The 19,468-nt window shown below is 52.0% G+C and overlaps 3 long non-coding RNA genes and 1 other non-coding gene across 11 annotated transcripts in view, besides 5 other annotated features; 2 read left to right on the top strand and 2 right to left on the bottom strand.

Moving 5' to 3' along the window:
- The first annotated feature begins 914 nt into the window (after positions 1-914).
- Positions 915-7,149, top strand: HOXB-AS4 (HOXB cluster antisense RNA 4). Of its 2 annotated transcripts, none has more exons than NR_046611.1 (2): positions 915-1,075; positions 6,768-7,149. It is a non-coding gene; the product is annotated as an HOXB cluster antisense RNA 4 (long non-coding RNA). The 2 variants fall into 2 exon arrangements; NR_170224.1 differs by lacking the exon at positions 915-1,075 and adding an exon at positions 1,738-1,868.
- On the bottom strand, positions 4,707-4,776 carry MIR196A1 (microRNA 196a-1). The gene has a single exon (NR_029582.1). It is a non-coding gene; the product is annotated as a microRNA 196a-1 (primary transcript).
- LINC03057 (long intergenic non-protein coding RNA 3057) lies at positions 7,021-19,069 on the bottom strand. 3 transcript variants are annotated; one of them, NR_186590.1, is made up of 2 exons: positions 18,822-19,069; positions 7,021-8,990 (listed from the first exon to the last, which is right to left on the bottom strand). It is a non-coding gene; the product is annotated as a long intergenic non-protein coding RNA 3057 (long non-coding RNA). The 3 variants fall into 3 exon arrangements; NR_189643.1 differs by lacking the exon at positions 18,822-19,069 and adding an exon at positions 11,307-11,547; NR_189642.1 differs by lacking the exon at positions 18,822-19,069 and adding an exon at positions 11,303-11,547.
- Positions 13,443-14,441: an enhancer, noted in NCBI's record as "H3K27ac-H3K4me1 hESC enhancer chr17:46718588-46719586 (GRCh37/hg19 assembly coordinates)". NCBI's record gives its function as "activates a minimal SCP1, AML or CMV promoter by ChIP-STARR-seq in naive and primed H9 embryonic stem cells {active_cell/tissue: H9 hESC(naive and primed)}" and the evidence as "EXISTENCE:reporter gene assay evidence [ECO:0000049][PMID:30033119]".
- Positions 14,442-15,438: an enhancer, noted in NCBI's record as "H3K27ac-H3K4me1 hESC enhancer chr17:46719587-46720583 (GRCh37/hg19 assembly coordinates)". NCBI's record gives its function as "activates a minimal SCP1, AML or CMV promoter by ChIP-STARR-seq in primed H9 embryonic stem cells {active_cell/tissue: H9 hESC(primed)}" and the evidence as "EXISTENCE:reporter gene assay evidence [ECO:0000049][PMID:30033119]".
- Positions 14,844-19,468, top strand: part of LINC02086 (long intergenic non-protein coding RNA 2086) — a 64,720-nt gene continuing 60,095 nt past the window's right edge. For 3 of the 5 annotated variants that reach the window (NR_189648.1, NR_189647.1, NR_189646.1), the window contains exon 1: positions 18,976-19,171. This is a non-coding gene — a long non-coding RNA (long intergenic non-protein coding RNA 2086). Of the gene's footprint in view, positions 18,580-18,975; positions 19,172-19,468 lie in introns of those variants that run through there. The other 2 variants (NR_189645.1, NR_189644.1) reach the window with 2 other exon arrangements.
- Positions 18,606-19,274: an enhancer, noted in NCBI's record as "H3K27ac-H3K4me1 hESC enhancer chr17:46723751-46724419 (GRCh37/hg19 assembly coordinates)". NCBI's record gives its function as "activates a minimal SCP1, AML or CMV promoter by ChIP-STARR-seq in naive H9 embryonic stem cells {active_cell/tissue: H9 hESC(naive)}" and the evidence as "EXISTENCE:reporter gene assay evidence [ECO:0000049][PMID:30033119]".
- Positions 18,713-18,762: an enhancer, noted in NCBI's record as "active region_12338". NCBI's record gives its function as "activates an Ori minimal core promoter by ATAC-STARR-seq in GM12878 lymphoblastoid cells {active_cell/tissue: GM12878}" and the evidence as "EXISTENCE:reporter gene assay evidence [ECO:0000049][PMID:35858748]".
- Positions 18,983-19,162: a silencer, noted in NCBI's record as "silent region_8658". NCBI's record gives its function as "represses an Ori minimal core promoter by ATAC-STARR-seq in GM12878 lymphoblastoid cells {active_cell/tissue: GM12878}" and the evidence as "EXISTENCE:reporter gene assay evidence [ECO:0000049][PMID:35858748]".

Consider the following 19,468-nt stretch of genomic DNA (forward strand, 5'->3'; position numbering starts at 1 on the left):
CGACTGGCTTCCTCGCTCCTCTCCCAGCCCCTGCTCCTCAGCTTCTGCCCTGGTTGCAGTCGCCTCTCCTGGCACTTGGGGAGGTGTGACCCCTGGACAGACCCAGTTCTCCTCTGGTTAGGCTCAGGGGTAGATTGGGGTGGATTTCTCGGCAACTCTCTGACTCTGAGTCCTAATAAGGCAGGCTGCCCTCAGTCCGGTCCTTTTAGCAAAAGAGGGGCCACTCTAACTTGAGTCCGTATCTTTTTGGCCACCTACCCCTCTGCCTTGTAGAAGGCTGCGGATCACCTCCCACACAGGCACACACTCCCACCCGCTTGTCTTTCCAAATGAAGCCATCTCGTGTCATTACACGTGAAATACGAGGGTGAAGCGCCATATTTCTTCACATTATGGCGATTTCAAAATGATTTTTTAAAGATCAATGCCGGCGCCCATCTGGCCCCCTCCTTTCCCACCCCTGCTCTCCGAGGGTGACAGCCCGGCAGATCCGTAACCAAACAGCATGAAGGTCTGCCTTTTCCATAGGACCCAAGTGGGGAAACAAAAATCCGATGCAAATTCTTCCAAGCAGAGGTTGGACGCTTGGGAAAGTCGAGGGAGCTCCCCGGACTCACCAGCGAAAAAGCTGGGCACTGAGCGAATGAATCACAGTTAAGGCAAAGCACCTGTTCTCAATTTGCCAGCCCTATGAAGTCTGCTGTTGGCTTTACCTGTCATAAATACACTCTTCAGGAAAAAAGATTCCCTCCCCCGCCATAAATAATGGTGTTATGAAGCATGGTGGGCTGAGTATATGATTTCTGTAGTATATAAATTAGGGCCTAAAAGGACATGTTTACTACGGACTGGGGTTTTTTTATTTATTGAAAAGTCACAGCGCTGGGCTGTCCTTAAGACCCAAGCAAAGCAGGCACTGCGCTCTGACTGCCGTCTTCCTGGTTCCCCTTCCCTCTCCTGCCCTGACTTTGCAGCTGCCTCTCTGCAACAAGAGAGGAGTCAAGAGGACCACTCAGTTTAGGGAAGAAGTTAGAGGAAGAAGAACACTTGGGCTGATGGCTTGTGCTCTACAAGGGTGAGTTCTCCCAGCAGACAAGATTTGGGTTTGTGGGTTGCTGTCTGTCTGAGGAGTTGCCCTTTATTCCCTGGTGGCTCCTGAGTGCTGGGTGAGAAGGGGACTTAGGCCTCTTTTCTGAGATCGGAACTTAGCCTTTGCTCATGAAGAAGCTGGAGAGTGGAGACAATTTTAAAATGACAGGTTTTGGAGGTCTTGGTCTTCTCAGGGAGCAATGACTCCAGAGGAAAGAGAATGAACTGGCCCCTAAGCCCTGTAGTCTGCATCCCAGCTCTTTGCCGTCCAGGTAAATGCACCAAGCAAGGAGTCCCACCCCAGCCAAGCTTTCTGGAAAGCACTGCTGCCCCAAACTGGAGTTCAACTCCAGCTCAGGCAAATGATTAAAGGGTCAGCTGAGAGACTGTGGACTCCCTCCCACCAAAAAAGCCTTGTTTTCTCCCCAGACAATGGTACCCACCATGAAGGAGGATAGCAAACAGGATTGTGGCTCCTGGAGCCCAGCTTCCAAAGACACTTAGTAAAGGGGTTGCTTCAGTGGGGGTCACCTTATCCTAAGAGAGCAAAACTGCTCCATACCCCACCCCCAATCCTAAACAGAAAGAAGGAAAACCCTGCCTTCCCTTGCAGCCTTTTGCCATTCCCTGCACTGGAGCCTCGCCTGAACACAGCTGGGGCCAGTAGCTGGTAGCTTGGAGAAGGGCAAGCAGGGAAAAAAGCGCAGCTCCTGGCCACACTGGGGCCCAGAGCAGCCAACAGTGAGGCCGAGGTTTGAAGAGCAGAGGCCGACCAGCCGGTGAGTGCCTATGCTGTGGGGGTGACTTTTGGAAGGGTCCTTGTCAGTAAGAAGAGAGAGAAAATCTAGAGGAAGGGAAGGAAATGGGAGAAGAAAGAAAAACAATAAGTGAGAATGGGGAAAAATAGTTTGTTTTTAATTAATAAGCTTAGCTGAAATTTACGCGTGTTTAATGTAAATAGATGTGTGTGTCCTATATGTATATTTCAAATCAATATTTCTGTATGGGGAACCCAGTGTGCAAATGCACTCTGCTCTATACTGTATATAGAATATGTAATAAATAAATCTGCCCAACTATGAAACTTGCTGTGCTTGGGCGTTCGTGTATGCAGGATCTAATCGTGCATATGTGGATGCATGCATAACCTCTGTGAGTGATGGAGGTTTCTGATTCTGCTCGTGTAAGAAGATCAGTTACCCAAAAGGTTGTGTGTACATTTTTATAACCATCACACACCTATGGAAAAGGCAAAAGCTTGGGTATTTGTGTACTTGAATTATGGCTATAAAATATTAGCTAATTCAGATGTCGCACTTGAAAATCTGTCCCTTGACTTGATATTCAAGCAAAATATACAGCGTATCCTCAAACAAGTGCATATGACTTAACACTACGTTGATTCTACGACAACTTCTTTCCAAAATGTTTCTCTGGAAGGTAAAATAAATGCTTCAAAGTGGCCCAGAAGAGGTTATGAAATTTTGTGACTTCTTTGTTTGACCATAAAATCCTTTACTGTGTTTCTTACCCAAGACCGCAGGGACGGTGTGCATTGTGTGATGCCTATTTCATGACAGCGATGAGCGCGGGGGTGGAGGCACAGTTACTTATAAGCACATGTGTCTCACAGAATTATGAAGCAGAGGTGGACAGAGATGAGCCGAGTGTGAAAGTGACTGTGGAGGTCAAGCAAAAGCACTGCTGTGTACAACAAAATTAGAAAAGTCCCCAAATCTATGTCTCCAAGCACCAGAGGTATTTCTTCAGACTCAAGATCACAGTCCAGACCCACTCTGGGAAAGAGTGAGGCATGAGGACACTTGCCCCAGTGGGAAAGGACACAAGATCGCAAAATCCTTACCCTTTATGCAAAACGGCCTCCAAAACAGGTATCACATCGAATCTGCATACTCAGGTTCAAATCTCGGTGCTTCCACACCCCCCAAGTGGGGATCTTAATTGTGAAGTAATGAAATCTTCTGCCAAACCTCCCTCCCAGGATGTCAGAGGTGAAAGGAAGGACTGAGAGGTCAGTGGCCCAAGCCCACCTCAGGAATCTTCTTACCAACTCTCAGCCATCAAGGATATCCAAGGCGATGGGGGTGGCTGACTCCTTGGGAGGGGGCATCCAGGAGGCCAAACGGGGTGGGCGGCAGGCAGGCGGAAAGGAGGCGAGCAGGTAGAAGGTTATTACGAAATTGCTTCCATAAAACCTGTGGCTGTTGTAAAACTCTGCTTTCCAAAGACTTTATTTCCTCCTTTCTCTCTAACATTCTCCTTTTTTCTTTTTACAGCACTTTTCCTGGGAGGGGGTGGCCAAGGGACACCAGGGATGGAAGACAGTCAGGCTCTGAGTGACTGGGCAGGTTTGTGAGAGGCCCAGGGAGAAGTGAGATAAGGCCGCAGGGACGCGCCAGGCCATCTCCACCCAGACCAGAGGATGAGAAACTGTCAAGGGACAGAGTTGTTAGCCTTTGCTTATCAGGACAGTGGGTTGAAGGCTCCATTTCCCCTAGGCTAGGGGTGGGTCTCCCTAATGCCCCTCTGCTCTAGCAGAAGCCCCTTGTTCAGAGACCCCCTGGCCCTCCAAGTCAGCCTGGCGCCGAAGCCCCATCCGGTCGGGCCTCTTTCCCGGGCCCCTTTGCACATTTCCTCTGCCTCAAGCAGCAGGGGGAAGGTTTGGGAACAAAAGTTAGCTTATGCTTTGGAAAGTCCCCCTTCTTCCACCAGCACTTCTAGTTATTCCTTTCCTGGGCACAGGGCCAACAGCCTTAAGAGGACCGAGGTCAGAGAGGGTATCAGAGTCTTGCCCTGCCCAACCCCTGGTTTCATCCCTTGTCACTGCATCAGTCGGGGTTGAATTGTCCAACAACCTGGGCTCCCCATTAGCTTGCAAGTCAGGCCCCTCTCCAAGGAGGTGGCACTCAGGACCTATGTGTACCCCCAGCCCAGCCCAAGGCCAGTGGGAAGCCTTTGGCCACTGGGGTGGGTGGGGAGGAAAAAGTCAACTGAGGGATTAGGAAAGGAAGGACTTTTCGGACCTACTTCTGTAGGTCTGGTCCCATAGGGGGCCTTCGACAGGACCCTGAGGGCTTTAGGCTGAGATTGCAAGAGCTCTCAGTGTTTGCCTTTCAGAATGAGACCTACTGAGCCCTCTTCAAGGACCTGAAGCTTCCTGCTGAGGTGGAGCACCAGCCCGCAAAGAGTTACAAAAACCTCAAGAACCCCCTGCATTTCTTTTGAAATCAAATATTTGTGAAGTTGGGGAGAGTTTCTCTGGAAAGTTCTGGATGTAGTTGAGAGCTCAGAGACCCTAAGGCTGGAAGTTGGAGCTCTGACTGCCATCTTTGGGTTGGGCTGAACAGCCCAACAGGGCCAGGGAGGTGCCTCGGGAGAGTTGACTGCTCCTCATCCCCCTTCCCCTCCTAACACACACACAAAAAAACATTCAGAAGTGGGAAGACACTTCCCAGATCTCTTCTCTGGGGGAACATCCTTGTTGCTCCTGGATGAAGGACCTCAAACCTCTTCCCCATTTTGCAAGGTTGATCTTCCAGTCCTGATTCTGCTCCCCTCCCCCAACTCCTCCAGCTAAGCAAGGAGCAGTAACTGCCGTGAATCGGGTGGTTTAATGTTGTTGTGTTCAGAAACCCAGGCCCAACAACATGAAACTACCTAATTCACTCAGCAGTTCCAATTCAAGCTCTAGGTCAAGAGCTCACTGGGGGCAAACCCTGTGGCCATTTTTTTGTGGGCCAAAAAGCGGCTTAACTTCATTTTGCTCCACCTCTTCCCCAACAGAAGAACCCAGTTGCTACTAAACAACACATCGGAAGAACTGAACCCAGGACTCTAGGTAAAACCATTTTGGAGCCGGTCCTGATAGCTCAGATTCCAGAGACATTTGCTGCCTTCCAGGAGCCCTGGCCAGAGAAGAAGACCCTAGACACAGGCACAAGCCTGGGCAGGGCCTCTTTGATATACCTGCTCAGTCTCTGCCTCTCAGCCCAGCTGGAGGTCTCCACAGATAAAAAGAATTCTCAACTTCAAACAGATACGAAGGTGCATCTATACTCAGCACCCTGCTAGCCCCTGTATTCCAGGTCACCCAGCCTCCCAGTGTAGCTCTGAGAGGCCAGATCTTCAAGTCCTACACACCCCCCAGCTTTGAGATTGGGGCTCAGACAGGAGAGTGAGACAAAAGAGTGCTGAGAAAGAAAGTGACAGAGAGAAAGGTGGAAAAGCAGAGTGTCAGAAAGTTTCGGGAATTCTAGGGAACAAACAGAGGAAGAATGGGATTTGGAGGGGAAAGCCGGTTGATCTGAACAGTTGCTGTGAAGGCACCCTGCCCAAAATGTCCCAGGGCCCTGGCTCTGCAGAGGCCGAGCTGCCCCAGGTAAGACAATTCATTCCGAATCTTCGCAGAATAAGGACTGAGAGGCTAAGGACTGGGATTGGGACACAGAGAACAAATTTGCTTCCTCCTTCCTGACCTTCGGTCTGGGTCCTTGGCCCCCTAACGTGCCCGCTCCTCACCTCTGCCTCTCCAGACACCCGCCTGCTCACAGGTGCTCACGCTCACACCCGCACCCATCGCAAAAACGCAGCTGTGCAGGCCGAGGGCGGCGGCGGACTTACCTGGGCGGCGGCGGTGCCGGCAGTGCGCGGCCGTCGGAAGGTGCGGAGCCAGCGGCCGCGGCCCAGTCCAGGCTCCCTCCCGCCCTCGCCCAGAAGCGAGGGTCCGAGTGGCCACGTGTCCGGCAGGGAAGTCCGAGGTAGCGAGGGAGTCCACCTGGCCGCCCGCTCCCCCTCCCGGGTATAAATCTTGGGGACCGGAAATACAATAAAACTTCACCGTGTTGATGAACTTCAAACGGTTTACATCCCCTCCTGTCCTGAAAAGAAAGACGTCCGGGGGCGGATTAAAAGGAAGGGGAAACAAATTTACGAGCGGCAGAAGCACCCGCCTCGGCCCCTTTCTTTGCCCGCACACTTTGTCCGCGTGGAGAGAAGCAGCCCCAGCCCCCGGGACTTGGCCTCCGCCGAACCGGCCGCCAGGCGCGCTCTTCTCTCGGAGGAGTCGGCGCTGACCCAGCCCGCGCCCGGCAGAGACTGGAAGCCGCCGCCTACACGGAAAATCCACAGAGCCCCGCGCAGACCCTATGATCGGCTCGGCCCGCCGGGCTTGGGATGAGGCTCCCTGCTTCTCGCTAGAGCAGAACTGGGCTCCCTGGCGCTTCCTTGCGAAAGCCCAGGCTCTCCCAACCACGCCCGGTGGCCTCCATTTTTTGCATCTTTCCGCTGAAAGCGGGTTTTTTCTTTTTTCTTTTTTTTTGACAGAGTCCTGCTGTGTCACCCAGGCTGGAGTGCAGTGGCGCGATCTCGGCTCACTGCAACCTCCGCCTCCCGGTTCAAGCGATTCTCCTGCCTCAGCCTCCCGAGTAGCTGGAACTACAGGCGCCCGCCACCACGCCCGGCTAATTTTTGTATTTTTAGTAGAGACGGGGTTTCACAATATTGGCCAAGCTGATCTTGAACTCCTGACCTCGTGATCCACCCTCCTCGGCCTCCCAAAGTGCTGGGATTACAGGCGTAAGCCACCGCGCCCGACCCAAGGGTTTTTTGTTTTTGTTTTTTGTTTAACTTTACTTTTCTCTTTCCTTTTCCGTTTCTAGCGGCCAGACCTTTGCCCAGCCCTGCCCGTTTATTGCCGGGTACTTGCTGGAAGGGGACAGAAGATAAGACTCGGGGTGACTCCCAAGGCCTGAAGGGGGCTGATTGGGCCGGGGGCTCCCAGAGGATAAACCTAGGGGCCGGTCGGTCTTCCTCGGCGTGGAAGTGAGAGCCACGCGGCGTGGCGGAGCTCCACCACCGTCTCCTTATCTCTTTAAAGCCTCAAAATCAAACAAAACCACTACTACCCAGGCCTCAAGTTTCCACAGTTTTTGTCTGCTCTGGACCGTTTACTTTTTTTGAAAAAAGAGAACTTGGTGGAATCCAAATTCTCTACTAGGCCTCCGAACCAAAACGAAGGAAAATCCGTTTTCTTCTTGGGCTTCAGAGAACTGGGATCGAAGTGATTGACTTCCTGCTCCTTTTGTCTGCTCCAGGGGCCTGGTTAGGTGCCCTTCTGGATGGGAGAGCAAAAGGTTCTCCATCCTGCCTCACAGTTATTCACCTCCAAAACAGTTTTGAGACACAATGGATGGCTAAGATTAGCTCAGGCTCAGGCAGAGTGTTCAGGTACAGGAGTGAGGTCCAGCTGCAGGCCCAAGAGGGGGTTTAGTGCACTGAAGGCACCCACCTTCCCATAGATACACACATAGATAACCCCACTCCCCAACCCCAAGAAAAGGCACCAAAGTGCTGCTGGATATTTTAAAAATCTGATTAAAAAATAAACGGGCAGGGAAAATACTAGGCAGTATAGGTTTTGAATTTTCTGAAGGGTTAACTCTGCTGCAGGCAGTCCCACTCGGCCCCAGCTCTCCAGAGGTGGGTGGTGGTCTGGGGGCAGTGCCCTCTGGCCCCTTCCTAGCACCAAAAGGGAGGAATTGGGGAGCTCTTTAACAGCTGGAGGGCAGGAAGTATCTTATTTCTGGCCAACATTCATATTCCAGTATTTGCATGGGGAGGCCCCTCCAGCCTCCCTCATTTGCTCTTTATCATGTTATATTTTCATTCAAAATACTGAGATGGCAGCTACTGGCTGTCACTTCTTCTATTAGGATTTCCCTCTGGGAGGACGGCAGGACTGAGGGGCCAGCAGTTTCCAGACCATTCAAGAGTGTTATTACCCATCCCCTACCGGGCACCTGGTGGGGGCCGGTGTGCTGGCTCCCAGCCTACTGCTGGCCTGGGTCTCTGTGGCTCCCTGGCTGAGAAAAGGAGATGGAAACCTTTTATAGTCTTAGACTCTTTGGAAAAACTGAAGAGGCCATAGCCTTAGGATGATGCACCTGCACACCCATATGTTTTGCATACATTTCCAGGGGCTTTGTGGCTTCCCCCTACCCCCATCCCAAGAACCCAGGCCATGGATTCCAATTAAAAAAACAAAATTATCTGTATGGTGCCAAAGGACACCCCAAAGCCATTCCCATAGATACCAGCTGTGTCTTTCCGAGGGCTCCCCAAAGGATAAGTCAACTTTCAGAGGCTCAGCACAGACACCCATGGCCGGGGTGCTGGTGCCGCTCATACACTAACTAGCTGAGATGATGGTCACTCCGTGAGTAAAGGCCAGTTAGGCAACATTTCTTTTCACCCCCAAACGTTTTCCAAACACTTTTCCAAAAGCATGTTGACCTCCAAATTATTCAGAAAATTGATGGCCATGCTGGAGGGTTTAGAGGTAACTTCTCCCCACTCCCTTTCTTCCTTGAAGATAAAGCAGAGTTCTAGCGTAACTGGAGGGGGGCTAGACAATTTGGTTGGTGAGAGGAGGCAGTGTAGACACAGACGCAGAACACAAGTTCCTTAAAGAAACAAAAATTGAGACCCTTTTCCATTTTGTGAGAGTCACAAGAATAAATATTTCTGGGACTTCCTGGCCTGTCTCCCTTCACAGGGTTCATTACAGGCGGGGAGGGAGGAGACAGTCTCGGAGAATTCAGAGGTGCCAGAAGCCGAGTTCCTAGACCCCAGCTGGATTTTTTTTTTTTTTTTTTTTTTTTTTCCAATTTCTGGCGGCGGGCGGCTGGGGAAGCAGCTCTGTGGTCTCCCGGCGGGTGAGGCCGAGACAGAGACCAACCTCTAGGCGGCGCCCTGGCGTTGAGTCCGCGCTGAACAAGATTCTCTCGCAGCTCTGCGTCCCGCGCCGGGTGAAGGGGCGTGTTCCTGCAGGCGCTCGGGGCTCGGCCTGGAGCTGGCGGCCGGCACGTCGCCTTTGGCGCCCTCTGCCAACCAAGAGAAACACGGTTAAATGAGTGCGCTGGGACAGAAATCCACAGCTAATCAAGGCCCCATCCGCTCCCACCCCCTGGCCCTTACCTCCTAACTCCATCTCCGACGCTAGGGAGCCTTCCACAGCCCGAATCTCCTTTGATGTCCCCAGCAGCCGGCTAGAGGGCAGCGCCAGCATCTTTAAACCCCTCCCCCAGCTTGCAAAAGAAGACACTGAGGTCCGAAGGAATTAAGTGATTAGCCCAAGATCGGAGCAGCTATTAAAAGTGGTGAAGCAGGGCTGGAGGAGGAGCCCTCTATTCCAAGTGGAATGTTCTTTACCCCAAATTACCACGACCATTCACCCCCTCCAAACGTGTCTTTCTTGTAAGCAAAATTCATCTCCAGAAAGGCAGCTTTTTGGTGTTTTCTATGTTGGAAGTTTGGCGTTTCTTGGGTTTCAAATTTGGGGAGGCCCATAAGAAAACTAGAGGCGGATATAGGGACAGCCAGTACAGGATTCAAAGCCAGGGCAAATCCAGCCCCCTCTTCCAAGAAATGCCAACTCCTCACTTATGACGTCCCTAGCTGCATGACCCTGGCCAAGTGCCTTAGGCCCCGAGGTGCCCAGATGAAGACCTACTGGAAAGGGAAGTTGTGAAGTGTGAATGCTTTGTGAAAGAGACTCAACAACTAAGAGAAGCTGCCAGCAGCAGGACTGCTCCACAGCCCCCAAACGAGGGGGGTTAGGGCCAGTCAGGCCACTCTCCTTCTTGGCCCAAATAGGGCCTCTTTGTTAAATTCTTGTGGAGCAAGGAAAGAGAGGTCTTGTTCTGGAATGAGCCCCTCAGAAACGTCCAGGGCCTAGGAAGAGCAGGATAGGAGAAACCAGGGTCCCTCTTCCCCTTCCCCTGTGGCAGAGATGCCATTTTATACTGCAGAGCCCTCTGAGAGACATTTCTGCAAAGTTATTCCTAAAACAGAGGAGCCAGAGAATCACCTGCGGAGGAGGAAGGCAACAAGAGGAGGGACGGGCTGCTGGGACCAGGCAGCAAAGGACAGGCACCTACTATGGGGCAGACTATGATGGGGCGCCTGCTGGGGTCTACAGTCCCACAAGAGGTGCATTTCCCAGCCGGGCAGGAGCTCTTGAGGATGCCTAATTACCCAGCGCACATCTGGAGCAGCTGCACCCTCGGACACATTATTTCGCTCCAACCCCTATTTTCATTCTGGAGGCTGAGTCATAAAAGACTGTAGAGGCAGAATAAAGTCGGGTCTGTATGTGTCAGCATTCCTGTGTGTGAGTGTGTGTGTGAATATGTGCACGTCTGGGGTGACGTCTGTGCATCTCACTGTGATTGCCCAACGGATTCGCTAAAGTTAGGGAAAAAAATGGAGCAACATCAGGCGAATTCAACTGCGAACATACTGTCAGCCTCATTATCTGCCCATTTCAAGGGAAAGCATTTGGGTCTTGGAATTAGCCAGTTAATTGCCTCACTTCTTTGTTCACTTTAGGGCAGGAGGAATTATCTGCATCCTTTTAAAGCATCTATATTTCAAAACTTTAAGATCTCCGCATTCTCAATTTTCTTTATTTCTATCTTTATAACACTTGAGCACTCAGATCTGCCTGTATCTCTCTCTCTCTCTCTCACATACACACATACACACACACACACACGTGCTTCATGCTTGAAAAGTAACTCTTAGTATCTGCATCTGTAAAATCTGGTGTCTTAACTCTTAAAGTTGATGTAAGGATTAATTAATGTACTATGATGTACTATGTGTCTAGCATTTAGCACAATACCAGGTGCACAGGCAGCATTTAGTAAATAGTAACTATTAATAATAAGGAGGAGGACGAAGAGAAAAGAGGAGGGGGAAAGTGGTATGGGGGGTGGGGGTGAGTGGCAAGGAGGAAACCTGCTTTGTTCACAGAGAGCCAGCCTAGGACGGAGGGTGTGTGTCTCAGCTGTATATGTATAATGTATTCTTTTGACTTAGAGCAATGTCTATAAAAGTGAGGCCCCTTGGACCCCTTGGCCTGTAACTACCTCTTCAATAAGGTACAGAGAATTGGGGCAATTATCTGGCTCATTTCAGGTTCAAACTCCCTTTAGCCTGTAGTATCTGGATCTCATAGGGGAAAGGTCTGAGAAGTGGTGGCTTGTATTCCTTTGGCTTTTCAAGGAGTTATTTCCCTTTGCTGTGGTGAGCACGGTCCTGCCTTAGAAAATGGGTAGACAAGAAATAGGGGGCCACGAAGCTGGAATTAAACAAAACATCTAAGAAACGCTTGACAAAAATCAGGTCTTACCTACTTCCTGGGCAGCCAGGAGGAGGCCTTGAAGTTCTCCATACACTCGCCCCAGAGGACCACCACCCCACTAACAGAAGTCACAGCCTTTTGCCTGCTGGGGACTTTCATTCCACATTCAGCAATCATTTCCTGAGCGCCTACTATGTGCCCAGCACTGGGCTGAGCTCTGGGGCTTCAGCAGGGCTGCACCCCACCGGTTGGCAGTGCCGATGTGGCAGCCAGCAAGAGGTCTTGGCTCCTAGAAACAAGTCCAGGACACAAGAAGGAAGACAAGCCTGCTGGGCAAGAACTTCTGGCCAATAGCAGCACTGCCTTTTCAGGGCCAAGTCCTAGTGCAGGGGCGGAGCCAGAAGGTCGGGAGCACCCCCTTCTAATTGTCTATCAGAAAAAGGCCAACTCCATGGTGCAGATGGCCCAGTGCAGGGAGGGGTGGGGCAGGCAAAGAGATGGCTAGAGGCTCCTGACCCTCAGTTGGAAGTTTCTGAGAACACCAATTAGCTTTCTTTAATTAGTAAAGTAGGGAGCAAATGAGCATATATTTCTTCTGCTCTGATTAAAAGCATTTAGGTCAGGTTTTCACAGCCAAGATTATCCAGTTTAAGCTGTCCCAAGAAGAGAATTGTTTATTTTTTTCTTTGTATTTTCAGGCAGGGGTCTGAATACTATTAGCCAACCATTGGCTTCTTGTCACAGCCTCGAACTGCTGGGCAGGTGGGTGGTGGTTGTGCAGCACAGAGAGGGGCAACTAGAAATGAGTTGGAGTCTTTCCTGTGCCAAGTCACATTTGTTTGAAATGTATAGACAATTGAGGAGCAGCCAGGAGGGCTTGGGTTTGGAGTGTAAGTATGTATGGAGGGGGAGGGTACAATTAGCCAGATAATTTCCAGTTCTCCTAATTTGTCTTAACATAGTCCTTGAAAAAGGAAGTTTCTTTTTACTTCCCAGACCCCAAAGAAGCCTGATTTTTCTCCTGGGAGATCTAGCTTGGTCAATTCACACATGTGGGGAGATGGCCAGGAAACTTAATAGGCCGGGAAAGAAGAGCTAAGTCCTTCTTTACACTCTGTGTCTAAACAGGCCACAACACAAGAGGCTGGGCGTAATTAGGAGGTCCCCCAGGATAGTCAGGGGTCACATGCTGTTTATCTCTTACAAACAAGATTACTAAAATATTAGGGAGCAAATCCTTCCCCTTTAAGTTCAGCATTTGGTATTCCCCAGCCTCTAACCTTGGCTAAATCAGCCCCAAGTAGAGCTGGGTCCCTGAGGAAATGGAATAAGTGAGTCAATAAGGGACACAAAGGAACATTCTATTGCCCAGTCCCCATTTGCTTGACTTATAGGCAGCTTTAGTTAGGAGGCTGTTTCCAGATAGTCTTCCCTTCCAGGAGTTCTGGTATGGTTTTTAGTCCCTGGGAAGCTGCTTAAGCCTGATTTCCTTCCATTGCTGGTCCAACTGCTGGCCAGTCTAAGATCAGCTTTCCCCAGCAAAGCTCTTCCCACGTTCTCAGGCTCCCAGCTGCTGGGAAGGAAAGACTGACTCCCACTGGGAGCCCAGACCCTACAGGTAATGGTGGGGAGAGGACACTGCCACCGGAGTGTTTTTACAGGTGAAGGCTGGCCTGGCAAAATGGAGATGTCAGCCAAGAGAAAGGGTGAAGACCTACGTAAACTGACTATATTTGGCCTCGGCATTTCCCAGACACCAGCTCCTTTGATCTATCCAAATTGTAGTTGTTAACTTGGTGTCTGAGGAGTCTGAAACTCTCTGAAATTGTGGGATTTGGTGAGTACTACATACGCACATTTTTTTTCTGGGTAGAGGGGAATCAATATTGTTCATCAAAATTTAAATTATCATATCAGGGAGTGGCCCCAAAATGTTAAGAACCTCTCATCCACCATTCTTACACAACCAACCAAAAATGTAATGCAGAGGGAGGCATTGTAATATACTTGGGGATCTGACAAGACAAATTAAAAGGACAAACAATTTATTGTTCCACAAGGTTGAACAGATACTGTCACCTGGACTTCTTGGAACACCAGGAACCAGGTCACAGGTGCTGGGGACTCTTAGACTGAGACCAGTCAGGCCACAACACCCAATCACTACCTCCTCCATATTTGCCTGTGCAGACAAGGAGTATGCAAGGTCTCTGTGTCTCTAATTAAATTAATATGGAGCTTTTATCCACTGGGGCCTGGACCTTCCGCCATTTGTCACCTTGTCCAAAGCTATCTCATACCGAAAGAGAATTGAACGTTTCAGGAAACACTTCCCCTTTGCAAATGCCCTTCTCTTGGGGAATGGGTATAGTGTCCAAATCTCCAGCTCCCACCATTTCTAGCCAGCCCTGAGGAATTGTCTGAGACCCGGGAGCCCAGAGATCATCAGCGGGGGCCAACAGCCATGACCTTTGAGTTTTCTTGGCCGCTGGGCCACAGAAAGGGTGCAAGAGGCAGCTGGACAGGTAGACAGAAGTAGGCACAAAGAAAGGGGCCCTGGACGGTTGCCAGAGAAAAGACGGAGAATGACAAAGAGAGAAGTGAAATAGCTGGACTGGAGGCGGGAACTGGAGCGCAGCAGGCAGGTGGAGTGGCCAAAACCCGCGTGCTAAGAAGAGCCCACAGGGGCGGCAGGGGCGGCAGGGGCGGCAGAGGCGGCCAGGCGCGTCTCCGTTCCCCATCTTTACGGGGAGGTTAATGACCTCCTCAGCGCCCCCTCGTCCCAAACCACCCAATTACAACTCCTCAGGCTCCTTAATGATCTGATTAATTGGTTGGTTAGGGCGGATGGAGGTGCTTCTCTGCCGGGGACCTGGCGGGGTTTCGCTAGATCATTTGTTAATTGTGGGAAGGAAGGACGCATCCGGGGAGAGGAGATCCAGGGCTGGAAAAGTGGGTGAGCGGCGCTGGCGCAGGCGGCCAGGAGAGAGCAGATGAACCGTTCGTTAGGAGCAGCGAGGTAGTCGTGAGCGCTGAGATCCAGAGACTAGGACCCACTCCCTCTCTGAGCAGCAAATTGGGAAGAAGATGCTCACTCGGTAAGGGCGAGGGAGCCCGGCATGGCGCCCCACCACGGGCTCGGTCTATCTGCGCGCCAAGATCCCGCTTGGGGCGAGGCGTTGGGTCAGCGTTTAGAGCCACTCCCTGCGCTGGTGGCTGGACATAGCCTCCCTATCCCACCTCATCTTCCCCCATCCCCGACAGAGGAGGTTGTGAATCTACAGGCCCTTGACGTTGAGGCGTCGGAGGGCGCACCTTTGTAATTGCGGCCTCCCTTCGCCCCTTAAGTGCCGCTTCTGGGCGCCTAGGCTGGATATGAAAGCCCCGTTCCTAATCCTCTGCTCTGGTCCCCTCCTCTGGACTGCTGGGACTCTAAGCTAGGCCCTCCCCAGGTTCCATCACTGCGGCGCCAACCCGCGGCTGGGCTGTCCGCAAGAGGGAGTTGAAGGCGCGCGGAATCCCGAGGTGCAGCTGACCCTCCTCTCAACGCCGACTCTGCCGCTCCCGCCCGGCCACCTCCCTGTCGGGCAGACTTCCTGTTCTCCTGCTCACAGCAGGGAGGCAGTCGCCGAGCCGGTCAGCAGCGTGCACGGAGATCTTCACTCTGCGCCCAGCCCCGGGACACAGGTGCAGATCTCCAGCGGAGCACTGCGGAGTGCGCGCCGTCGAGCACTAGGGAATCCTAGACGGAGGACTTGGTCCATTCCACGCAGTCCCAGGCAGGTCCGCAGCGGAGGGACGCAGCGGTCTCCAACTCCTGGTCACGACTTCGGCGACCCTCCACCCCCTGAGAGACCTGGTCCCACGGAGCTGTCCCCCCAGGAGCCGCAGCGGGAATAGCAAAGCAAAGGGGACCACTCAGCCCCCAGGAGGAGCCCTGAAGCAAAAAGGTTGCTGCGGGGAGCCACGTTCCCTCTGGTTCACCTCGAAGCCCAGGAGCTCCGGTCCCTGGACCAAGGAGTGAACAGACCTGAGGAAGAGGTAAGAGGAGGTTTAACGAGTAAAAATTTGGACTCTCTCCTCTTATACTGCTTTAAAGCATGAGGAATTTGGGCCCTGACTTCTCTCTCCTTGAAGAAGTTTCTCGCGTTCTGGCCAGTCCTTGCGTGTCTGCACCCAGGGCCGGCAACAATTTAAGGAGGAACTTTACTGGGTGGTCGAGGCTTGAGAGTTCATAGTTACCTTTTAAAAAAATCATTACTATTACTTAATATCTAGGTTATTTTGGACTGAGCCCCCATCTTCGCTCCAGCCCAAATTCGGCCTTTAACAGTACTAGGGAGTGCTTCAAAAGAGGAGGGTCGTGGAGGAAGCGACTCAGACGGCCCCAAGAGGAGAGATGGGAAGGAGTGAGGGCTTTGGCCTTAATGATCTCTGCAAGTTAAAGGCCATTATTCCTATAACTACAGCTGGGGAAAGGGCAGAGGAGGTAAGGACGGAAAGTGGGCTGAGGGTGGCCACTTTGGCATCTTCTTGAGAAAGGAGACATTTGAATTCCCGGCCCAACTAAAAGCCCTGAGATGCTTGCCCTTTGCTTTACAGACAGTGATGGCAAAGAAATACTGCCACCAGGGTGTTTTTAAAGGTGAAGGTTGACCTGATAAGCACTGAGATCAGACAAAGGAAAAAAAAAGTAAAGCATTTGGTCTTTCAGTTTTCTGGCTAAATCTGGCATCATTTTCCAGACACAAACTTCTCTGATTAATCCAAATAGCTCTCAACCTGAAGTTCAAGGAATTTGAAATCCTCTGAAATTGTGGGATTTCACAGTTCTAAAAGGAAGTCAGCTGTCACTTTCTGAGAAGCCCTGGGAGGGGAAGGAAGCAAGAGGAGGTATATGAGGAAAGGGGGTGAGAGGCCCCAGATCTAGCTCTCTAGACATTTAGTGCTGGACCCCCAAGCTCTGAAACTCAAGCTGACCCCATCTACACATTGCCAAACTGAGTAGAAAGTTGCAAGGCAGTCAAGGAGATAAATTTTATTTACTGCTTTAAGGATGAGTTTGGGTGTCTAAGCAGATTATAAATCTGGGTGTTTTCAGTATTTGTTTCTTTCTTTCAACTATTACTGATTTTTGGCCCAGAGTAGTTTCTGGGGCCCTTGGGGCAGTTAGGCAAGAGAGGGACTCAGACCTCCAGTCCCTTGATCTTGCCTTTACTTGGTGAAGAGCCCAAGATTCTCTACTGGCAGGCAAGGTCAGAACCAAGTTGGCCCTAGGCCTTGCCCCAACCCCCCAGCCCTCAGGACTCCTTTCTCTGAGACCAGGCCTCTGGCCAAACTGCAGACTCCCTCCACACCCGGTCACTGGAATAATGATGGCATTTTTGATTTCTCCCATTTTTGAAAACTATAGAAGCCCCAAGGAGGAAGGAGGTACCACTGGATCTTGGGGTGCTGGTGGGGGATTCTGGAATCAAATATCCTCTAAGCCTGTGAGGACAAGGTCTACTAGGATGACTTGGTGTCAATTACAGCTCTGAGTGCTGCCTGGATAGGTCAAATATTCCCTCCTTTCCCTCCTCATTCCTTCCGTTCAAGCCCAGAAAATTCACAGATTTTCTGTGTGGAGAGAGAGAAAAAAAATGGGCAAAACCTGGGAGTAAAAGGGAGATGAGGGAGAAGAAAATGAGGGAGAGAAACCAATAGACTAAAACAATGAAACTCTCTAACCCAACAGCACTTTAAGCTTGACTTTTAATCTGGCCAGAAAAAAAAAGAAGTTGGAGGCAGGGTGGGTGGGATGTGAAGTTCCCAGCCCAACAGATCCTCCTGTTGTCACGGGCTCTGTGCGTTCCCAGCTGGTGAGAACCCTGTCTGTCCTGGGGGTGGGAGGGATGTCCTGGGTCTTTCAAGTTGCAGTGTGGGGAGTGAGGCTCTTTCTAAGGGTCTCTGAGGTCTCCCACAACACCTTGCTTGGACTAGCAAAACCTTTCTTTGCATTTCCTCTGGGGCACTGTGTATGTGTATCCCTGTGTAGGGTGGTGTTCTAAACCACCGCAGAAGGTGAGCAATTCTCCTCCCAGCGAGCCAAAGGCTATATGTTTGGGGTGGAGGAGGCTTCATCCCTTCTGGACTGGAGAAATGGGGACTTGGAGCCAAGTGCGCCAGACTTTAGGGAAAGAGAGGAGCTCCAGCTCCAAAAGGGATTTGGAGGGAAGATCCTATCAGGAAAGGCCCCCCAGACTTGCTTCCTCAAAGGGTTAGGGAAGTGCACTGAGAAAAGAGAACTTTCACTTAACTCTTCTCCATTAGGCATCTTTGTGCTTCCATTTGTACTGGAAAGCACAGTCCTGGGCAGTCAGTTGCACATTCCGCCTCTGGTATGTGGACTATGTGAAATATACCATGCAATGTTCTACTTTGCGAGGGGGGAGGCATATAGATGAAAATATGAATTTCCCTTCTACTGCCTTTATTATTGAGCACAGTTGGGAGCACATAATTTCACATCTCTTTCGCATGTCTGTATAAATCCTCAATCTTTAAACGGTGCTTGACTACTCCGAGAGGCACAGTTGCTGTCATATAAGATTCCTAGCCGACTCCGGCGAGTTACTAATTCCTCTCAGACTCCACAATACCCACGATGCACGATGCACACCCCTTTATGCTTGCTTTTCTTTACATGCCTTTTCAAAGGCGAATAATTTTTGTATTGACCCATGAGTCAGTCCATACAGTTTGAAATCCTTTGGATGCCCTCTGCCCACTCCCATAAACAACAGGTCCCTCCACAAAAATGCACATGCCCCGTTTTTGTGAGTGTGGGTTTCAAATAAGATGGCGTCTCCTGGCATTCCTTAGATTCAGATACACGCTCTCTCAGGCAGGAGGCTGCTCACAGTCCAGAGGGGAAGAAAACCTATGAGGCCCCCAAAAGCCAAAGCAAGAGACTCCCCCAAGTATTCTGCCCCCTCCACGCCAGGAGGCAGCTAGAGAGACAGCGCGCGGGAGAGCTGATTCTGCACCTTGGGGAGCTGGGGGCTTCTGTCTAGACCAAGAGTTCCAGGCCAATTCCTAATTTCCGTTAGGAAAAGTGGCCCTTCTTCCATCCCAAGCGATTCCTCACCCCCAAGGCTGCTCAGGGCGTCTGGCCCTTGCCTCTCTCACGGCATCCGCCTGGAATCCGGGGTTGTGAGCAGGAGGCCCAGGACGCAGGGCCTCAGGCTGGGCGGGGCACTGAGCACTCGGCTCTGGGGAGCCAGGGTTTCCGGTAGAACGAGGGGAGGCGACCCCCTTTCCCCACACACACACCTGTTGGAGAGGTAGGGTCGGGTGCCAGCGGACAGGGAGGCCAAGGCGTTTTCGGGTGCGCCCCGAGGCCCTACCCGGGAAGCTGCCTCGGTCTGGAGATCAAGGTTAAGCCGGTGGCCCCGGGAAGCCCACGCCTGCCACGGGCGGTTGGTCCTGAAAGCTCGGGCCACGGGGCTGCCCAGCTTGGAGAGGGGCCTTTCACGCCGCAGTCCCCAGCTGCGAGAGGAAGGGCTGCGCCCGCCTCCTCACCTACCTCTCGGAACCACGCCGTCCCCCGCGCGTCTTCGTAGACTGCAGGAGTCCAGGGCGTCTGGGGACTGTGACGGCGCCCAAGGCGGGGGATGTGGCGGCTCTGGGTCGCCGCCTTCTGCCCCCGCCTCTGTGAGGCCTCTCGAGGCAGTGTCTGTGTCTGGGGCAGCGACGCCGACGGCGCTGGGGGCGCGAAGGGGCTCACGCTCCTGCGTTCCCCTGGCGCCGGTGAGTGGCGGGCGAGGACAGGGTCCGGGAGGGGGATAGGCGAGAGCGCTTCCTGCCTCCGCCCGGGCGGGGCTCGGCCGTCTCACCTGCCCCCACCCACGGCGCCGTCGGATCCCAGAGCGGCTGGTGAGGAGATGGGCCTGGCGCGCCGCGGGGAGGCCAGAGGCGCGGAGGAGCAGCGCCCAGATGGCCGGAGAGAGCAGAGAGAGAGAGAAGAGAGAGAGAAGAGAGAGAGAGAGAGAAGAGAGAGAGAGGGAGAGAGGCAGAGAGGGAGAGAGGGAGGGAGAGAGGGAGGGAGGGAGGGAGGGAGAGAGAGAGAGAGAGAGAGAGAGAGAGAGAGAATATGAGAATATGAGAATATAAAAGGCAAGAGAGAAGCAGATCCAAGGGCGCGCCCAGAGAAACATCAAATGCACAAATAGA

This window comes from Homo sapiens, chromosome 17, assembly GCF_000001405.40.
Source record: "Homo sapiens chromosome 17, GRCh38.p14 Primary Assembly".
NCBI lineage: Eukaryota > Metazoa > Chordata > Mammalia > Primates > Hominidae > Homo > Homo sapiens.